Here is a 22,281-nt window from a genome sequence, read left to right on the forward strand (position 1 = left end):
TCAGTCTTGTGTTGCTGGACATTTTAGTGTTTTCAGTTTTCCTCTGATAAACTGCTCAGATACCAGGCCAACAACCATTTGACATCACTCAATTTCCGTATCTGTCAAGTCTAGTTGCTGGCTTTTCTCTAGCACCATACCGGGCCCATCATTTCATTTTACCAAATACCAGAGGCAAACCTGAAGTAATTCAGGGGACCAGATTTGATACCCACAGTTAGTCTGGCAGTATGATTCAGACTTAAAACTAGAAAACCAACTCTTGATTTTTTAAGTTAATGGAGTAAAACAGAACTTAACAAATTCTTCATTAAGTGGAATGTTCCCTCCTTCCTTGGGGATCTTAGGATAGCCCTCCCAGCGTAGTTTGCAAGCCCCTCCTGTGGCATTCATACCAGCATGAAGTACATGCCCAGGCCAGTCCCCACCGATTGCCTCCTTTACACTTAACCTGCAGATGAATTCCAAATGCTGCTGGGCAAGGTCCATAGTAAGAACTTCACCATTTGTGAATTGTGTTGTTTTAGCCTATTTTGTTCCCCATTCATTTCCATTTTCTTAAGTGTTTATTGTATTTCTAACATGGTGTCAGACATAGAGGGAACTTCAGAGGAAGAGAAAAATACCCTGTGACCTTGAGGTTCTTAACATTCTCCGAGAGGAGGAGGACAGTAGTTCAATACACATGATACAACCACCCTTCACATGAAGATGGGCTAAATAATGTGGCAGCAACCCATCTGCATAGGAACTGAGACACCAGGAAGTGTGAGGGAGCCCAGACGAGAGTGTGGTAGCCAAGGAAAGGTTCATTGTAGGAGGTGAGTTTTGATGAACCTCCCCTTATAGGCAGTAATGAAATTGGAAGGAGTCAGCAGAAGCATTTTAGATGGAATTAATAGCAAAGATATCTGAGCAGAAGTGAGCAGTTGCGGTTAAAGTAGGGCCAAAAGAATGACGTAGTAGAATTGGATGGACCATATGGCTGTGCTGCAAGAGATGAGATGGGAAAGCTGCCTCATCTGCTTCTGTTTTGGCATGTCTCTTCCTCCTTGGTTGGGTTTCTTTTTCTCACTCATGCTTGTCCTTCAACACTTTAACATAAAGCAAGGTACTTTTTACTTTCCTGTGACCGTTTTTCAAAAGTACTCCCAGTTTCTGAATTTAAAAGTTTCATGCCGTATGCCACTTATATGATGTATAATGGTTTACATGGCTTTATTTAGAAAGTATTCCTAAAGTTACCTTTCTCTTTCTGCAGTATATCATTCTTGTCATAGTGAGGAGAAGTGTCCCCCTTGCACTTTCCTAACTCAGAAGTGGTGCATGGGCAAGCATGAGGTAAGTTTTCTCTCTCAAGTGCTCATTGTTCCAGGCAGAGGTTCATGATTTTATTACTTAAGAATTGTTAGTCTCATCGTCTGTCAAAGTAAATACACTCAGAAGTAGAAGCTTTCCATTGCTTAAAAATTTTTTCTTAAGATATAATTTGCATACAACAGAATTTACCCTTTTTATTGTACAGATCCATGAGTTTTAGCAAAAGCATACATACCATCAAACCACTACCACAATCAAGATATAGAACAGTTCAGTCACCCCCAAATATCCTTCATGCCCCTGTATACTCAATGTCCCCTACTTCCAACTTCTGAAAACCAATGTTGTCTGTTCCAATCATTTTACTTTAAAATACCAAATTTTTTTTTAATAACCTCCTTATTCCTGCAAGAATGGCAATAATCAAAAAATAATAGATGTTGGCGTGGATGTGGTGAAAAGGGAACACTTTTACACTGCTGGTGGGAATGTAAACTAGTACAACCACTGTGGAAAACTGTGGAGATTCCTTAAAGAACTAAAAGTAGATTTACCGTTTGATCCAGCAGTCCCACTACTGGGCGTCTACCCAGAAGAAAAGAAGTCATTATATGAAAAAGATACCTGCACACGCATGTTTATAGCAGCACAATTCACAATTGCAAAAATGTGGAACCAGCCCAACTGCCCATCAGTCAACAAGTGGATAAAGAAATTGTGGTGTATCTATACGTACCATGGAATACTACTCAGCCAGGAACGAAATAATGGCATTCACAGCAACCTGGATGGATTTGGAGACCATTATTCTAAGTGAAGTAACTCAGGAATGGAAAACCAAACATCGTATGTTCTCAATTATAAGAGGGAGCTAAGCTATGAGGACGCAAAGGCATGAGAATGATACAATGGACTTTGGGGACTCTGGGGAAAGGACGGGAGGCGGGTGAGGGATAAAAAACTACACACTGGGTCCGAGCACGGTGGCTCATGCCTATAATCCCAGCACTTTGGGAGGCCAAGGCAGGTAGATTATGAGGTCGGGAGTTCGAAACCAGCCTGGCCAACAAGGTGAGACCCCCCCCATCTCTACTAAAATAATTAGCCGGGCCTGGTGGCGCATCCCTGTAATCCCAGCTACTTTACTTGGGAGGCTGAGGCAGGAGAATTGCTTGAACTCGGGAGGCGGATGTTGCAGTGAGCCAATATCGCACCACTGCACTCCAGCCTGGGCAACAGAGCAAGACTCCGTCTCGAAAAAAAAAATAAATTTTAAAAACTACACATTGGGTACAATGTACACTCCTCGGGTGATGGGTGCACCAAAATCTCAAAAATCACTACTAAGGAACTTATCCATGTAACCAAACACCACCTGTTCCCCAAGAACTATTGAAATAAGAAAAAAGAAAAAAAAAAAATCACTGATTGCAGGTCACCCTAACAGATATAATAATGAAAAAGTCTGAGATGTTGCGAGAATTACCAAAATGTGATGCAGACACGAAATGAGCATGTGCTGTTGGAAAAGTGGAACAGATAGACTTGCTGGAGACAGGGTTGCCACAAAGTTTCAATTTGTAAAAAATGTGATATCTATGAAATGCAATAAAGTGAAGTCCAATAAGAAATGCATATTTATTGTACAGTTGAGAAGATTTAATTCTGCTACTGAGAAAGAAATACTCTACCATTCTGGCATATAAACCACCAGACGTGGTACACATTTTTCCTTGCTGTGGTTAAGATGATACTGTTTGCTACATTCCAACTGTCCTATACCAAAAAAAAAAAGATATTGTTTTGTAACCTGCTTTTTTTGCATCATGACGTATTGGCCAACATTTCATGAAACTCTTGACATCTATAACAACATGCTATATTCTTTTATCTTCATGGACGTATATTCCTCCACTGATTTCCTGTGGGTGGTTCTCAAGTCCTTGGTATTTATTCTTTTCTATATGTCTCACCTTTTCCAGTTTATCCATTCTAAAACATCAATGTGTTATCTTCGTACTGATGGCTTATTAAGACTTCATTCAACAGATATCGAGTATGAGTACCTACTATGTGCTAGGTAACAGGCTAGGTTTGGGTGCTTTGGAAGTGAACGAGACTAACCCTTGCCCTTATGAAGCCTTCACTTTGGGTTAGGAGGCAGGCATGAAAACAGACAATAGCAGTAATGCGGGAAATACAGAGGGCTAAGGAGGATGGAAGGGCTCTCCAGGTGTTCTGGAAAAATTAACATCCTAAAGGATAGTGAGAAGAAAGTAATGTGGAGAGGATGACAGGGCAGAGCATGGGCAAAAATTATCCCCTTTGCCCTGGTAGTAGAATGGGTAAGTGTTTAATGATTGAGAACTACATTCTACTAAAATATGGATTCCAGTGCGATGGGAAATATGTATGTCCTAGATGTTGGAAGTCTCTTCAGGGGGAGAAGTTGTGTGTCACTGCAGTAGAAGTATATCCCTCATTTCGAGGGTTCAAGACTAGCCTTTGGTCCTACGAGAGTAAAATTTCAGCAGCTTTTTCCTATGGTGAGGAAGCGTGGAAACAGGCCATTTTTCAAGAAAAAAAAAAAGAATTGGGGGTTCTATCCCCTGTTGTCTCTTAATTTTTTAAAGGACAGGACTGCGTGAAGCTGTGGAGACCATGAGTTGGGAGACATGAGGAGAGTTAAGTATTTAATTACAGAAAACAGCCTCCTAGCCTGGGCAACCTAGTGGGATCCTGTCTCTACAAATAATACAAAAATTAGCTGGGTTTAGTGGCATGCCTGTACTCCCAGCTACTTGGAAGGCTAAGGCAGGAGGATCACTTGAACTCAGGAGTTCAAGGCTGCAGTGAGACACGATTGTGCAACTGCCCTCCAGCCTAGGCAACAGAGCAAGATTCTGCCTCAAAAAAAACAAAACAGGCCAGGCGTGGTTTCTCATGCCTGTAATCCCAACACTTTGATAGGCTGAGGCAAGTGGATCACCTGAGGTCAGCAGTTGGAGACCAGCCTGGCCAACATAGTGAAACCCTGTCTCTACTAAAAATACAAAAATTAGCTGGGCATGGTGGCACACACCTGTAGTCCCAGCTACTTGGGAGGCTGAGGTAGGAGAATCGCTTGAACCCAGGAGGTGGAGGTTGCAGTGAGCTGAGATGGCGCCACCGCACTCCAGCCTGGGCGACAGAGCGAGACTCCATCTCAAAAAAAAAAAAAAAAAAGGCAAAATAAAACGAAAAAATGGCCCTGCCATCAGTCTCAGAACCCTGGGCTAAGGTTGCCCTCCACCCCGCATCTATAAGAATTAGTCTATTGACTCTGCTTTAGCAGTTCAGAAAGGAGGGAAAAGATCATCTGCCCCTGCCAGTTAGTCATAGCATTTTCAAGCACTCCCTAGTTACCTAGTTACATTTGTTTGTTGTCACTTTGGAAAGTTTATGTTCCAGATCACATTTTTGGCTTCTGCTGCAAATCCTTTTGAGTCATAACAGGGATTATTAAATAAAGTTAAGGTTTGTTTTCTTCATCTCAAACTAACCTTTCAGACTTTGAAAATCAAACTGATTTCTTTTCAGATAAATAGAGCTTTTTTAAAAATACAGCTTTTAAGCTGGATGCAGTGGCATGTACCTGTAGTCCCAGCTAATCAGAAGACTAAGGCAAGAGGCTCACTTGAGCCCAGAAGTTCAAGTCCAGCTTAGGCAACATAGTGAGACCCTGTCTCTAAAAATTAAAGTAATAATAATCCTTATTTTAAAAACTGAGCTGAGTGTGGTGGTTCATGCCTGTAATCCCAGCACTTTGGGAGGCCAAGGCAAGTGGATCACTTGAAGTCAGGAGTTCAAGACCAGCCATCTGGCCAACATGGCGAAACCCCAACTAAAAATACAAAAATTAGCTGGTCGTGGTGGTACACACCTGTAACCCCAGCTACTCGGGAGGCTGAGGCTGGAGAATCACTTGAACCCTGGAGGTGGAGGTTGCAGTGAGCCCCGAGATTGGCGCCACTGTACTCCAGCCTGGGCAACAGAGTGAGACTTCGTCTCAAAATAAATAAATAAATACAAACTGTTATTGCCAGATGCAGTGGTTCACACCTGTAATTTCGGCACTTTGGGAGGCCTAGGCGGGTGGATCGCTTCCACTCAAGAGTTCGAGACCAGCCTGGGCAACATGGTGAAACCCCATCTCTTAAAAAAAAATTCAAAAATTAGCTGGGCGTGGTGGCATGCACCTGCAATCCCAGCTACTTGGGAGACTGAGATGGGAGGATCACCTGAGCCCCAGGAAAGTCATAATCACACTGTTGCACTCCAGCCTGGGCAACAGTGAAACCCTATATCCGAAAACAAAACAAAACCAAACCCTGCCATAAGCTTAGAAATGTTTAAAGAGAAAGTTAAAACTCACCCCAAATCCCACATGGAGATGAGAATCTGGCTACTTCTGTCTCTCCTAGTTTCGGAGCAACATCCCCTGTCACCTGGTTGATATCTCTTGCGGATTACCCTGCAGTGCCACGCTACCATGTGGGATGCACAAATGTCAGAGACTCTGTCACAAAGGGGAGTGTCTTGTGGATGAGCCCTGCAAGCAGCCCTGCACCACCCCCAGAGCTGACTGTGGTCACCCGTGTATGGCACCCTGCCATACCAGCTCACCCTGCCCTGTGACTGCTTGTAAAGCTAAGGTGGGTATTTCTGGCCACAGATGCAGCATTGACTGTAGTTCTGAGGCTACTAGTGAATCCAGAACTGTCTACAGTGGCCCCTGGGCATGCATCTTAATTAAGGGTCATTGGTTGCAAATAACCACAAGTTAGAGAAAGGTAGAGTAAGTCATACAAGTTTCTGCCTGCCCAACTTGGTATGGCCTTTTGATTCAGCAGGTACCCACTGCCACCGGACCACAGTCTGTGTCTCCCTTGGGTGAGATTCTCAATAGTCACTGATTGTTTACTCCATTTATTTAATAAATGTATAAATGTCTTTTGTGCAAGACATAGTATGAGGTGCTAGGGATAAATTAGTGAACAAGAGACACATGGTTCCTCACAATCTGATAGGACAGATACTTGATTATTACTTAGATAACTAATTATGGCTGTGGTGTCATGAGGGAGTAGTTTAAGCCTTGTGGAGGGGGCTATGAGAGCAGGTAAATGGGAGGTTAAGCCTGGTCTAAAGGATCAAGTGTGGCCACCTTGAGGATGTGGAGTTGGCTTGGAGTTGGCTAGGCCACAGTTGGGCCTAGGGCAAGTGTCTGTCTCTGATGGTACAAACTTCATCCTAGGCCTGCCCCTTCAGCCAGGATTAAGAACAGAGGTGGTTTCCAAAAGGGGGCATTGTGGACGGGGCAATTCTTTCCTAGCATGTCAACAACTGTGTCAGTTTGCATGTGTGGTTAGCTTCTTCCAGCTTGGAGAGTGGCCACCCACTGACTCTCTAGTCTCTGCTATGGTTTAAGAGAGGATTTAAGAGTGAAAAGTGCTTTATTCACATAGTTCCAGTGTGCTAAAAGTCGTTCCATGTTCATCTGACTTCAGGTAGAGCTACAGTGTGAATGTGGACGAAGAAAAGAGATGGTGATTTGCTCTGAAGCATCTAGTACTTATCAAAGGTTAGTGTTACTTAAATGTTAACAACTGATGGCCTAGGTGAAACAGATACATGTGTTTTGTTTTGTTTTTAAAGCTAGTCAAGTGAAGCAGTGGGAGTGGAGAAGAAACGAAGTCTGTAACTGTTGTAATCAGTTGTAAACACCACTGCACAGATACATGTGTTTATCATAGTATCCTTGCAACTTTTCTAAAAGCTGGAAAGGTTTTTTTGTTTGTTTTGTTTTGTTTTATTGAGAGGGGTCTCGCCCTGTTTCCCAGGCTGGTCTCCCACCTTGGCCTCCCAAAGTGCTGGGATCACAGGCGTGAGCCACTACACCTGGCTGGAAAGTTTCTTACATACATTTTTAAAAATCTGGTTTCTCTAGTTCAAAGAAACAGTGCTGCTTTATATACCTTTTCTTCCCTAACTTTAGTGTGTAAAATAACTTTGAAATTTCTCCGCTTCCTCCTTCCTCTTTCTTTTTTTCTCTCTTTTGGTCGTATTACATTGTGAGATAAGAAGGGAAGATGTCCTGAAGTTAGGTGAATTGCTTTCACATCCTACCATTTGTCATTGACACAGCCAGGGCTAAGCTCTGTGCTCCTCTGGTGTGAGGGTTTCTAATTGTTCTGTGAGGTATCTCTGCAGCCTCCTGAAGTCTTGGGACCTGTGTAGCCGTACAGGGATCTGAGTGCTGAGATGGAGGTGTTAGAGAATGAATGGTTATATATATATATATCTGGTTAGATGGGGAGAGGTGCCATGGATATAGGACTTTAAGAGGATGCACACATCAGATTGGCTGTGTTTGAATACCTACTAAGTGCCAAGTGTTGCTCTAGGGGATACTGAGGGATTGAGTCACCTCATCGCTTCCCATGTAGCTGCTTTGAATATAATTGAAGAGATATGACATAAATATGTAGGTAGTTCATAGTAGCCGGGCTTCCAAGGCCACACCAGTTTTCATCTGATAGATTTGCTTTTTTTTTTTTTTTTTTTTTTGAAATGGAGTTTCGCTCCTGTTGCCCAGGCTAGAGTGCAATGGTGCAATCTCGGCTCACTGCAACCTGCACCTCCCAGGTTCAAGTGATTCTCCTGCTTCAGCCTCCTGAGTAGCGGGGATCACAGGCACCTGCTACCATGCCTGGCTAATTTTTTGTATTTTTAGTAGAGACGGGGTTTCACCATATTGGCCAGGCTGGTCATGAACTCCTGACCTCAGGTGATCCACCTGCCTTGGTTTCCCAAAGTGCTGGGCTTACAGGCGTGAGCCACCACACCTGGCCTAGATTTGCTTTTAAAGAGGTCTTCTGTATCCCAAGTATAAGGAGGTTCTTGTGAAACTGCAATGCCTCTTTTTCCCTTTCTTTTTTATATTTCAGAATAGCTGCAATCTCCATGGCCTCTAAGATAACAGACATGCAGCTTGGAGGTTCAGTGGAGATCAGCAAGTTAATTACCAAAAAGGAAGTTCATCAAGCCAGGTAATTTTTAAAATGCATATATGTGCCTTCTTTCTTCAATTAGACTTCAATTAGAGGGCAGAGATTATTCATTTATCTCAATCCTTCATAGTAGAGCCTTGCATACACAATAAGTATTCAATAGACAATTTGATGTTGAGACATCTGCTCCATCCCCAATGAATCCTACTCAGGAGATGGCTAAGACTAAAGGAGACTTTTCCAGGCCTCACAGTAACCGAAGGAAGCAGAGACCTATAGGTGTTTAGCTTAACCCATATGAGAATAGAGAACCCAGAGAGGTGGCCATCTCTGGAGAGGGAGATTGGGCTGTTAAGAGGGGCACCTGTGGAGCATTTGGGGCTGAGCAGCCAGGGAACACTCTGAGGCCACTGGAGGACTCCTAGACCCCATAACAGAGAGGCCATCATCCCACCTGTCCTTCAGAGGGACCTCATCCAGCCATTCCTGGATTGGGGTCCCTGGGGAAATGGTATTTCTAGGGCAAGGTTACTAATGGAAACTGAAGAGCAGGTGGCCTCACAGGCTGCTTCCTGGCCTGAGGGATTGTTTTTTGGCAAGAGTCAGCTGTGCTTCCAGGTTGACTGAGACTTCCTTTTCTTGCTGGATGGGAGCTGTACAGTCTGTATTCTGACTTTAATTTTTTTTCATTTGCTTATCAAGGCTGGAGTGTGATGAGGAGTGTTCAGCCTTGGAAAGGAAAAAGTAAGTAGTTGCAGCTGCTTTTTTAATCTCCTTGCCCTTGAGCTCTGTGAAATTAATGGGAGGGAGCAACCCTTCAAACGTCATTCACTCAGCACTGCGCTGCGTCTTTTACCGTTATCAAAGAGCAAGAGAAATGCCGTTACCAAGAATTGAATTGTCTTAAGGATAAACCACTCAGGTGATTTCAGCATATTGAGAAACATGAGCTGTGTGGTTTTGGGCATGATATAAACATCACATAACACAGCATACTTATTCAGGGACTGGCCAACTTCCTGACTCAGAGATAAGAGGTTTAAAACAATGTTTAGTTAACTTTTCGTTGAAGTTTAGCATACATATTGAAGATTGGAAGTGTGCAGATCAGTGAATCGTCACTAAATGATTACAGTTGTGTAATCATTTGTGTCACTAAATGAATACAGTTGAGTATGGATACAGGTGAAAAGATAATTACCAGAACCGTCTCTTGTACTCTACATAAAGGTGAAACCTCTATCCTAATTTCTCTTTAGATTAGTTTTTGAACTTTATGTAAGTGATGAAATCATGTAGTTTGTATTATTTTTGTCTGGCTTCTTTCGTTATATTTTTGTGACATTCACTCCTGTTGTTGCATGTAGCAATGCTTTATTCATTTTTATTCCTGCATGATTTTTTTTGTATTACTATTCATTTACCCATTATACTGTTAATGGATATCTTTGTATTAACTGTTAGACTATTACAAATAAAACTGTTAAGAATTCTTTTTTTTTTTTTTTTTTTTGAGATGGAGTTTTTCTCTTGTCGCCTAGGCTGGAGTGCAATGGCATGATCTTGGCTCACTGCCACCTCTGCCTCCCGGGTTCAAGCGATTCTCTTGCCTTAGCCTCCAGAGTAGTTGGCATTACAGGTGTGTACCACCATGCCCAGCTGATTTTTGTATTTTTAGTAGAAATGGGGTTTCACCATGTTGGCCAGGCTGGTCTCGAACTCCTGACCTCAGGTGATCCACCTGCCTCGACCTCCCAAAGTGTTGGGATTACAAGCTTGAGCCACCACGCCCAGCCCAGAACATTCTTAAACTTGCTTGCTCTATATTTCTGTACATTTCTGTTGGATATAAGCCAGAAGTAGAATTGCTGATTAATAGGGTTTATGTGTGTTCAGCATTAGTAGATTCTGCCCATGTCCAAAGTGATTGTACCAAATTACACTCCCACCAGCTAAGGATAATTCCCATTGCTGTACATTTTTGTCAGCACTTGAAATTGTCACTTTTTAATTTTAGCCATTTTGTAGATGTGTATAACAAGATGTCATTGAGCTTTTAATTTCTATTTTCCTGATGACTTAAGAGATTGAGCACCTTTCTTGTAGTTACTGGCCATTGGATAGCCTCATTTTTGAAGTGCCTGTACAAGTCCTTTGCTTATTTTTTTGTGCTCTTTTTGTATTGATTAGTAGGAATTCTTTATGTATTCTGAATATGAGTCCTTTGTTGGCTCTATGTATACATTGTGAGTACTTTGTTGCACTCTGTACCTTCATTTTTTACTCTCTTGATGCCTTTTTTTAATCCCAGAAGCTAAAGAACTCTTGTTGTCTTTTGATAAACAGAAATTTTTAATGTTAATATTATCCAGTTTATTTGAGTTTCTTAATAAGCACTTTTCATGTCCTATTTAGAAAAATTTGTCTATCCTGAGGCAATGACAATATTCTGTTATTATCTAGAAACTGTGTTATTTTACCTTTCACATTTTAAATCTACAGTTGACCTGTACTGATTTTTTTGAGTATGGATAAGGAGAGTTTACAATTCAGCTTTTTTCCACGTGAATATCCATTTGACGAGTACCAAGATTGTCCTTTTCCCAGCACTCTGCAGTGCCACCTCTGTCATACATCACATATAAGCCTGGGCAACTTGGCAAAACCTCATCTGTACAAAAAATAAAATAAAATTAGCCAGGTGTGGTGGTGCACACCTGTAGTCCCAGCTACTTGGGAGGCTTGAGGTGGGAAGATTGCTTGAACCTGCGAGGTTGAGGCTACAGTGAGCCATGATCACCAGTCTGGACTATACTTTTGGTGACAGAGTGAAATGCTGTCTCAAAAAAAAAAAAAAAAAATAAGCCGGGCATGGTGGCTCACCATGGCCGTAATGGTGGTGCCTATAATCCCAGCACTTTGGGAGGTTGAGGTGGGCAGATCACAAGGTCAGCAGATCGAGACCATCCTGGTAAAACCCCATCTCTACTAAAAATACAAAAAATTAGCCGGGCATGGTGGCGGGCACTTGTAGTCCCAGCTACTCGGGAAGCTGAGGCAGGAGAATGGCATGAACCCAGGAGGCGGAGCTTGCAGTGAGCCGAGATGGTGCCACTGCACTCTAGCCTGGGCGACAGTGGGAGACTCCGCATCAAAAAATAATAATAAATAAATAAAGTATATCAAATATATATATATATGTGAGTCTGTTTCTGAGCTCATCCTGTTCAACTGCACTAGTATCACACTGTCTTAATTACTGTACCTTTATAACAAGTCTTAATATCTGGTAGTATATATCCTCAACCATGACTTTTCTTCAATATTGTCTTTGATTATTCTTTATTCTTAGCCCTTTACATTTCCACTTAATGTCTTTTTCATTTATGTATTTATTTATTGAGATAGGATCTTGCTCTGTCACCCATGCTGGAATGTAGTGGCACAATCATAGTTCACTGTACCCTTGAACTCCTGGGCTCAAGGGATCCTCGTGCCTCAGCCTCCAAAATAGATAGGACTACAGGCACACACCACTACGCCTGGCTAAGATTTTCTTTTTTTTTTTTTTTTCTTTTGTAAAGACAGGGTTTTACTATGTTGACCAGGGTGGTCTCAAACTTCTGGCTCAAGCGAACCTCCTGCCTTGGCCCCACAAAGTGCTGGGATTATAAGCATGAGTTACTGCACCCAGCCCATTTCCACTTATATTTCACAATTGGCTTGTTATTATAATATATACCCAAGAAACCTGCTGGGATTTTGATTGAGTTGGTATTTAACTTGTAGGTCAATTTGGAATCTTTACAATGTTAAATTTTCTAGTCCAAGAGAAGGTGTATTCTTGCATTTCATGTCTTCTTTGATTTCTCTCAATGATACTTTATGGTTTTCTATATATAAATTTTGTATTCTTTCAGTAGATTTGTTTCTTGCTTTTTGATGCTGCTATAGATGGGTTTATTTTTCTTGTATTACTTGTAATTTTTTTTTTGAGACAGAGTCTCGTTCTGTTTCCCAGGCTGGAGTGCAATGGTGTGATCTCGGCTCACTGCAAGCTCCACCTCCCGGGTTCACGCCATTCTCCTGCCTCAGCGTCCCAAGTAGCTGGGACTGCAGGTGCCCACCACTACACCCGGCTAATTTTTTGTATTTTTAGTAGAGATGGTGTTTCACCATGTTAGCCAGGACAGTCTCAATCTCCTGACCTTATGATCTGCCCGCCTCAGCCTCCCAGAGTGCTGGGATTACAGGCATGAGCCACTGCGCCTGGCCAACTTTTAATTTTTTTTAAATTATTATTATTATTTAATGTGACAAGTGTTTTGTTTATTTTGTTTTTGACCAGGTTGACATCCTCAAAAAAAAATGCAAATTACAAGGACTTCATTTTAAAGCAAATGCTCATTTTAGAAATGTGTTACAGAAGATATTTATGTGCTTCAGCAGGCATAAAAATATATCACAGATAAGGCAAAAAAATTCTGTGAATGGCTTGATTTTTTTTTTTTTTTTTTTTTTTTTTTTTTTTTGATACAGAGTCTCACTCTGTCTCCCAGGCTGGAGTGCAATGGCACAATTACAGCTCACTGCAGCCTCTACCTCCTGGGTTCAAGTGATCCTCCCACCTCACCTCCCAAGTAGCTGGAACTGCAAGTGCATGCCACCACACCCAGCTAATTTTTACATTTTTTTGTACCACACCCAGCTAATTTTTTTGTTTTTTTTTTGGTAGAGATGGCATCTCGCTATGTTGGCCAGGCTGGTCTCACATTCCTGGGCTCAAGCAATCCTCCTGCCTCAGCCTTCCAAAGTGCTGGGTTTACAGGCGTGAGCCACCACACCCGGCCTAAATTGGTATTTTCTAATTGCTTGTTGCTGGTATTTAGAAATACAATTGATAATTATTGACTTATTTAGCAACCTCGCTAAATTCACTTATTTCTGATATTGTAGATTATTTTGGATTTTGTATATACACAGTCATGTCTTCTAATAATAGTAATTTTATTTATTGTCAATTCCTGTTATTTTTTTCCTTTCTTTTTTCTTTTATCTTTTTTCCTTCTTTCCAATTCTTAACTTTTATTTCTTCTTCTTACCTCATTGTATTGGTTAGGGCCTTCAGTATATTGTTGAATGGAGGGTGGTAATAATAGATATTCCTTGGCCGGGCGCGGTGGCTCACGCCTGTAATCCCAGCACTTTGGGAGACTGAGGCGGGCGGATCACTTGAGGTCAAGAGTTCGAGACCAGCCTGGTCAACATGGTGAAACCCTGTCTCTACTAAAAATACAAAAATTAGCCGGGCATGGTGGCAGACGCCTGTAGTCCCAGCTACTCAGGAGGCTAAGGCAAGAGAATTGCTTGAACCTGGGAGGCAGAGGGTGCAGTGAGCCGAGATGGCGCCACCACACTCTAGCCTAGACGATACAGCAAGACTCAGTCTCACCAAAAAAAAAAAATAGATGTTCCTGACTAATCCTCCATCTCATGGGGAAAACTTTAAGTATTTCACCATTAAATATGATGTCTGCAGTAAGTTATTTGAGGATACTCTATCAGATCAAGAGGCATTTATTCAACAACTGACAAACTTTCTGATTCTAGCAAAGATTGATTAAATTGAATAGCCCTGCAAATTGTTAATAATTGGAGAATTTAGGTGAAGGTTATATAGAAGTTTATGGTAATATTCTCATAACTTGTCTTTGAAATTTGTTTAAGATAAAAAGTTAGACAAATGCAGACAAAGTATAGCCCTATTTTACCTTGAAGTTTGACTTTCAGCAATTTTAATAGTACCTCTTTACATATTAAGTGTGTAGAAGGTAATATGATGACTAGTAGTGCTGTCCAAATTTTCCTTGGTTTGACCCTTATAATAACTTTCTAGTGAGTGCCGTTCAAAACCCTTGCCCTTTAGGAACCGTCAGTCAGTGTTCTCAGCTGCAGAATGTAAATTAGGAGTCCTAGGTATTCAGAAATGCTATAGTGAATACACAGAAGGTCTCCAAACATGGAAATGTACTTTTGGTGGTTGAAAGACATATTGTATACTAGTTAGAGCCAGAGCTCTGGAGTCAGATTGTCTGGATTTGAATCCTGGCTTCACAAATCACTTAGCTATGAGACCTTGGGCAAGTCACATATTGTCTGTAAGCCTTAGGTTTCTTAAAAATCTAGAAATGATGACAATAACAGTATTTACCTTCCAGAGTTGTTGTGAGGATTAATACATTAAAAATGATACTCATAAAGCTCTTGGCACAAGAGCTTGGCACATAGTAGGTACTCAGTAAATGTTATTGATTAAAACTAGCTATTTTTGAAAGCCTTTTGAATTTCTCCTCAATCTTGGTGATGACATAATGACCCTTACTGGATAGAGTCTTTCATAAATACACACAAACCTAAGAGAAAAAAATGCAAATTTAAAGAAAAGTCCATCTAAAGTTATATCTATATATACACACACATATATACACGCATACACCTGTGTGTATATATATGTATGTGTGTATATCTCTATTGTAGAAATAAAAACCTAGCAGGCCAAATTCAGCCCACAGACAGGTTTTATTGGTGTTTAAATTTGAATTAGTGGCCAACTAACCAAAACATCAAAAGATCTTCCCCTAGAAATTCTCTTGAAAATTTGAAAAGTAAGTGTCTTTTGAAAAATTGGAAATCTAGCAGTGTGAACCAGATTCTTGTGGGCACTAAGCTTGTAAGTGACTCTTGGTGCAGTGTAAATGAAAATTGTACTAAGTGCTAAGCTGAAATCTAGCTTTAAAAAAATAAAATAACTTGAATGTTGGTGAGATGCCATGAGATTCAGACACTGATGGCTAGGGCACTAAGTGGCATTTCTGGAGACCACTTACTCCACATTGATCAAGAGTCTTATGTCCACTCCATGTACCCCACAACTGGAAACATTTTCAAAGCTTTTTGCACAGAGATATTAATTGTGTCGTATATAATATTGAGAAACTGAGGAACTGTTAAAGAAACCTAAATGGGAAATGATTAAAATATGGGAACATAATTAGAAGACTATGAGCCATGAAGACAGTTAAGTGTGAAAACAAAATAATAATATGAGAAATGCTAACAAGATAATGCTGAGAGGCAAAGAAACAAGGTTTTTTTAATTTTTAAAATTTTTTTATTAAATAAAAATGGTATATATTTATGGTAATACAGCATGATGTGTATGTATACATTGTGGAATGGCTAAATCAAGCTAATTAGCATATGCATTACCTCACATTCTTATTTTTGGGGGGGTGAGACAATTTTGAATATAATAATGGCGGTACTTAAAATTATAGAGAAAGGCTGGGCGCAGTGGCTCACACCCGTAATCCCAGCACTTTGGGAGGTCGAGGCGGGTGGATCACCTGAGGTCAGGAGTTCAAGACCAGCCTGGCCAACATGGTGAAACCCCATCTCTACTAAAGATACAAAAATTAGCTGGGCATGGTTGCGGGCGCCTGTAATCCCAGCTACTCGGGAGGCTGAGGCAGGAGAATCGCTTGAATCCAGGAGGTGGAGGTTGCAGTGAACCGAGATCATGCTATTGTACTCCAGCCTGGGCGACAAGAGCAGCCTGGGCGACAAGAGCAAGACTCCATCTCCAAAAATATATATATATACACATAGAGAGAAACGTTATAGTGAAAAAAGGGGCCCGTTACAGCGGCTCATCCCCATAATCCCAGCATTTGGGTGGCTGAGGCCAGCGGATCACTTGAGCTCAGGAGTTCAAGACCAGCCTGGGCGACATAGCAAAACCCTGTCTCTACAAAAAATACAAAAATTAGCCGGGCATGGTGGCACACTTGTAGTGCCAGCTACTGGAGAGGTTGAGGTAGGAGGATGGCTTAAGCCCAGGAGGTGGAAGTTACAGTGAGCTGAGATCATGCCACTGCACTCCAGCCTGGGCAACAAGAGCCAGACCCAGCCTCAAAAAAAAAAAAAAAACAATTAGAAAAAAGGGAACACTTACACATTCTTGGTGGGATTGTAAATTAGTACAGCCACTATGGAAAACAGTATGGAATTTCCTCACATTAAAAATAGAACTACCATATGATCCAGCAATCCTATTACTTGGTATCTCTACAGAGGAAATAAAATCTGTAGAGATACCTGTACTCTCATATTTGTTGCAGCACTATTTACAATAGCCAAGATATGAAATCAACTGAAGTGGCCAACATGGCTGCATGGATAAAGAAAATGGGGTATATATACAGAATGAAATACTATTCGGCCATAAAAAAAATGAAACCCTGTCATTTGCAACAACATGGATGGACCTGGAGGACATCATGTTAAGTGAAATAAGCCAGACACAGAAAGACAGACACCACACGATCTCACTCATATGTAGAATATTTAAAAAATAATACAGAAGCAGAGAGTAGACCAGTGTTGTCTGACTGAGAAGAGGGACAGGGTGGAAAAGGGAGGTTGAGGAGAGGTTGGTCAGTGGATATAAAGTTACAAATAGATGGTAGTAATAAGTTCCTGTGGTTTTTTTTTTTTTTTTTTTTTTTTTTTTGAGAAGGAGTTTTGCTCTTGTTGCCCAGGCTGTAGTGCAATGGCGCTATCTCAGCTCACTGCAAGCTCTGCCTCCCGGGTTCAAGCGATTCTCCTGCCCCAGCCTCCTGAGTAGCTGGGATTACAGGCATGCACAACCACACCTGACTAATTTTTGTGTTTTTAGTAGAGACGAGGTTTCTCCATGTTGGTCAGGCTGGTCTCGAGCTCCCAGCTTCAGGTGATCCGCCCGCCTCGGCCTCCCAAAGTGCTGGGATTACAGGCGTGAGCCACCGTACCCAGCCTAAGTTCTCGTGTTCTATGGCACACTGGGGTGATGATGGTTAACGGTAAGGTGTAGTATTTTACAAAATAGCTAGAAAAGAGGCTTCTGTGTATTCTCACCACAGTGAAATAATAAGGGCATCAGGTGATGGATATGCCTAATACACTGATTTGGTCATTATACAACATAGTATATATGTACCGAGACATCAACATCAAACTGCTTCATAAATATGAAGCAATGACAATGGGTCAATAAAAATAAAATAATAAAGAAATGTATTATTATTATTATTATTATTATTATTATTATTATTTTTAGACAGAGTCTCACTGTGTTGCCCAGGCTGGAGTGTAGTGGCACAATCTCGGTTCACTGCAACCTCTTTCTCCTGAGTTCAAGTGATTCTCATGCCTCAGCCTCCTAGCAGCTAGGATTACAGGCACGTGCTACCACACCCGGCTAATTTTTGTATTTTTAGTAGAGACAGGGTTTCACCATATTGGCCAGGCTGGTCTCGAACTCCTGGCCTCAAGTGATCCATCTACCTTGGCCTCCCAGAGTCCTAGGATTACTGGTGTGAGCCACCGCACCCAGCCAAGAAATGTATAAAAATGAAGTGTATATGTTAATGGAATTCTTTACTTTTCAGATTTCTATATTAATTTTAACATTTGTATGTCTATTTTATGTACCTTATCTTTAAACAAAGCCTCAGAGAAAGTCATCCCCCATTGACCATTCTCAGTGATCCCACACCCCCAAACTCCTCTTCCCCAAATAATCTAAGTCCCCAGTGTTCAGCCTATGACTTGCTCAGATCCTTATAGATCTGTTTATTTTCTTTTATGAAGACAATACCACCTCATGTCCCAAGTTGTTGTTATTCTCTCCTTAATAATCCAGTTTACCAAAATAGAGATAAATAATGTGTAAAGAATTTAGGATATAGTAGGCACTCGGGGTTACTGCAAGATAGTTTCCCTCCCACTCCTTTTATTTGCATACCTCTCTCTCTCTTTCAGGAGATTAGCAGAGGCATTTCATATCAGTGAGGATTCTGATCCTTTCAATATACGTTCTTCAGGGTCAAAATTCAGTGATAGTTTGAAAGAAGATGCCAGGTATGTAACTTGTTACCTGCTTTCTTAATTGTGGCTTGTCAGGGTGTTTGGTCTTTTGAGATGTCATAACTAATATGTACTCCTCCTGTGATTAAGCCAGTTCAAGTTTGTTTGTTTATCTATTGTAAGAGATTATGTGCTGTTTAATAAATATCCTTCTCTTGGTTTCTCGAAACTGTCCCCTTAAAGAACTGAACTTGGGGTAGGGTTGAGATAAGAGTTTGGGTGGGGTGGTGGTAAGAGTTTGGGCCTCCCAAGGGCTGGACTAGACTAAATTGGAGGATCTCTGGGCTTCATTCCACTTCTGTCCACCCCAGTCTCACATTCACATGCGTTCTCAGTTGGAGCTATAACAGCTCTTATTTTTCTCCTGGAGTCCCTGGCCTTTCAGTGGCTACTTCTCCTTTCATCTTCTCATTTCTTATATTTTTCTCTTTTGTTCTTCCGTCAGTCATCCTTCTGTTTTCTGACAATTCCTGATCTCTGCAGTTTTACTGCCAGCATTGTCTATTGTCTACGCTTTACAGGGAGAGGATGGGTGAAAGGGGTTCTCAGAAGGGCAGGGACAGACAAAATTAACTGGTGATTTCTCATTTCAGGAAGGACTTAAAGTTTGTCAGTGACGTTGAGAAGGAAATGGAAACCCTCGTGGAGGCCGTGAATAAGGTTGAAGTCGAAACATCCCACTGGACATTTCTCTAAGGCCAGCTTGATGAAAAAAAAAAAGCAATCAAGTCCTGGAAACACTTTCAACCTAGAGTAGTTGTAGGAAAAAGTCACAACTTCTTTGAGGATCCTTATCTTTCTCAAAACACAGCCATTATAACATCTGTGGAAGCCTGTCCTGGTTCAGGACAGTTGACTGCAGAAAAGATCTACAGTCGGCTGGGCACAGTGTCTCATGCCTGTAATGCCAGCACTTTGGGAGGCCAAGGCAGGCAGATCACTTGAGGTCAGGAGTTCTAGATCAGCTTGGCCAACATGACGAAACCCTGTCTCTACTAAAAATATAAAAATTAGCTGGGTGTGGTGGCGGGCACCTGTTATTCCAGCTACTTGCAAGGCTTAGGCAGGAGAATTCCTTGAACCCGGGAGGCAGAGGTTGCTGTGAGCTGAGATTCTGCCACTGCACTCCAGCCTGGGCAACAAGAGTGAAACTCTGTCTCAAAAAGAAAGAAAGAAAGAAAGAAAGCTCTGCAGTCAGCTGTAAGTAAATGCCAGGCACGGTGGCTCACACCTGTAATCCCAGCGCTTTGGGAGGCTGAGGCAGCAGGCGGATCACTTGAGTCCAGGAGTTCACGACCAGCCTGGGCAACGTGGCAAAACCCTGTCTCTACAAAAAATAAAAAATTAGCCAGGTGTGGTGGTGCACACCCATAATCCCAGCTACTCAGGGGGCTGAGGCAGGAGGATTGCTTAAGCCCAGGAGGTCAAGCCTGCAGTAAGCTGAGGTTGAGTCACTGTACTCCAGCTTGGATCTCCAGCTTGAGATCCTGTCTCAATAAAAAAGAAAGAAAGAAAAAGAAAATAAAGATGCTGGCCAAGTGCCTAAGAATGGATGAAGAAACTCTGGGTGAGGGGGCTCAATAGTGATAGTTGAGTGACTGTGTGGGACACTTAGGAAGACACTCTAGCCCCTCAGATCTTTGAAGGGCTATTGTATGCTAGGAAAGCCCACTGTTCTTTATAATTCCAAAGGCAGGAATGTCCCCTTTGGGAAGGATGAAAGTTGTATGACTACAGCTGGAGAGCAGTGGGATAGACTCCTTCAGAAGAGGGAGACCCCTGTCCTGGAGGCGGCCAGGGATGTCACGGAGGTAGCTTTAAGTGGAAAAGTCTTGAGTTTAGTCAGAAGCCCCCAGCGCTGCATTGGCTTCCTCCCCCTTCCATCAGGGGGGACGGTGAGTAAGGACAAGATGGTTGCTTTAGCCCCTGTATCTAATGCTGGTGGTTTTCCTTCCCAGTCTCCTTACCCTCTTCCCATTCCCCTCCTTTCCTCCCTTCTGTTACCACTTCCCAGCAGAATATTAACATGAAGGAGAAAATGGAATGCATTATTCCTCTCCTAATTAAGAAACCCCAACAGATGTGTTTCTCTGCTTGTGTGTCTGTATCTGAATACTCACGATTTTTAAAGTAGAACATACTTTTAAAGGAAATAATATTTTCTTGTTTTGTAAGTCTTTAGTCATTTTTGGGGAATATCACCCACTCCCCAGTTATGGAACCCATCAGGAAGAACCATTATGCTGTCTACCTAAGTCGCAGTTCACTTACCCTTTGTCCCTAACCCTGTCCAGCTGCGACTGTTGTGGCTCACAGAGTAGGTGAAAGAAGTGCATCAGTGCCCATCTTCCCAAACCCCTCCAGGCTTGCTTGGCAGTTAGTAAAATGCTCTATGCTGTGGGCCTCTAAAATCACCTCTTATTGATCCCTGCAATTCTTGTGTGGTAAGATTAGTTGTAAGCATTTTGTTTTCAGAATGATATGATCAATCAGTCATCTTTTCCCTCAATACAGGGAAAGAATAGTAAGAAAAGCCACAGCTTCCCTCCCATGAACAGAGACCACCGCCGGATCATCCATGACTTGGCCCAAGTTTATGGCCTGGAGAGCGTGAGCTATGACAGTGAACCGAAGCGCAATGTGGTGGTCACTGCCATCAGGTAGGTCAATCCCGCCGTCAGAGGAAGAACTCCTAAGCAGGGCAAACTGGACCCAAGAAGCAGGGTCTGTCAATACTTGTCTTTCTTACTACCACTCTCCCTCTTGGAAAAGTAGAAGGAAAATCTGCTTCTCTGGCACTTCCCAGATAATCTAAAGGCCTGAGCCAAAGAGCAAAACCTATGCCTCGACCCACAGGGCAGATGCACTCAAAATGCACAAGTGTCACATCTGCCTACAGTCATAGCAGATGCTGGAAGCAGCATTTCTTCAGGCAAGGGGGCCTGCCCATCATATCTGCTCTTTTCTCCTTCTGTCTCCTGTTCCTCTGTCTGTCCTCTCCTTGGCTCTGTCCTCTTGGCATGGGGAAAACAGAAAGAATGCTGGACTCTGGTTCGAGGCATCCCCTGTGAATGGTGTTTTTGCCATCAGAGGAAACTGAAGCAATAATGTGACCAGGAGGGGACAGGGAGGACCTAGGATCACTCTCAGAACCTGGGAATAGGAAGAACTTGCCAGTGAAGAAAACAAGTCTGACATGAAGCAAGCCACGGGCCTGGCATAGGTGGGTGGAAGGGACAGGGGGTTAAATGCAGGTGGCCATGTCTGAGAGCAGACAGTTCATACCAGAGAGTGCTCAGTAGTGTCATAGTGCCAAAATCAAGGGCTGAGTTTCTAGCTTTCTGTCCATCTCCACAAACAATTCTCACTTTTCAATGCTTGGTGTTTTGACTTTTATCAGGGGGAAGTCCGTTTGTCCTCCTACCACGCTGACAGGTGTGCTTGAAAGGGAAATGCAGGCACGGCCTCCACCACCGATTCCTCATCACAGACATCAGTCAGACAAGTAAGATTCTCCAGCTGCTTTCCAAGGGGACCTGTCTGTCCAGAAAAGCTAGCAGGGGCTGAATTGTCCTGAGCTGCACCAGCCATTGGTGGCCTCCTCAGGCCTGGCCTTGGGGTACCATGTTCAAATATGTAATGTTTAGTTAGGGTATCAGACACGTTTGTTCCCACCAGAGGGGTCCTAAGTTTGTTGTTTGTAGTGCTTGATTCTAGAGAGAGCAGTCACTGGACATAATTTCCATGGTGTAGATGGTGACACTGGGAAGTGGATTCAGTCTGTCATACCAGATAGTTTAAGACTGAAACATCGTGTAGTTAGGAATAGTTACTCTGGGCCGGGCGCGGTGGCTCACGCCTGTAATCCCAGCACTTTGGGAGGCCAAGGCGGGTGGATCACTTAAGGTCAGGAGTTCGAGACCAGCCTGGCCAACAAGGTGAA

General features: G+C 42.3%; 1 protein-coding gene and 1 long non-coding RNA gene across 7 annotated transcripts in view; one reads left to right on the forward strand and one right to left on the reverse strand.

Moving 5' to 3' along the window:
- Positions 1-22,281, forward strand: part of NFX1 (nuclear transcription factor, X-box binding 1) — an 80,642-nt gene that overhangs the window by 55,261 nt on the left and 3,100 nt on the right. For 2 of the 6 annotated variants that reach the window (NM_001318758.2, NM_002504.6), the window contains exons 15-23: positions 1,262-1,341; positions 5,784-6,014; positions 6,870-6,943; positions 8,310-8,411; positions 9,075-9,116; positions 18,234-18,332; positions 18,932-18,998; positions 20,853-20,998; positions 21,739-21,843. In NM_001318758.2, coding sequence (NP_001305687.1) covers positions 1,262-1,341; positions 5,784-6,014; positions 6,870-6,943; positions 8,310-8,411; positions 9,075-9,116; positions 18,234-18,332; positions 18,932-18,998; positions 20,853-20,998; positions 21,739-21,843 — 946 coding nt within the window. Of the gene's footprint in view, positions 1-1,261; positions 1,342-1,886; positions 2,956-5,783; positions 6,015-6,869; positions 6,944-8,309; positions 8,412-9,074; positions 9,117-18,233; positions 18,333-18,931; positions 18,999-20,852; positions 20,999-21,738; positions 21,844-22,281 lie in introns of those variants that run through there. The other 4 variants (NM_147134.4, XM_047423427.1, XM_047423429.1 and 1 more) reach the window with 4 other exon arrangements.
- LOC105376018 (uncharacterized) lies at positions 3,017-5,817 on the reverse strand. The gene is made up of 2 exons (XR_929561.2): positions 5,735-5,817; positions 3,017-3,096 (listed from the first exon to the last, which is right to left on the reverse strand). It is a non-coding gene; the product is annotated as an uncharacterized LOC105376018 (long non-coding RNA).

Source organism: Homo sapiens, chromosome 9, assembly GCF_000001405.40.
Source record: "Homo sapiens chromosome 9, GRCh38.p14 Primary Assembly".
NCBI classification, from domain to species: Eukaryota; Metazoa; Chordata; class Mammalia; order Primates; family Hominidae; genus Homo; species Homo sapiens.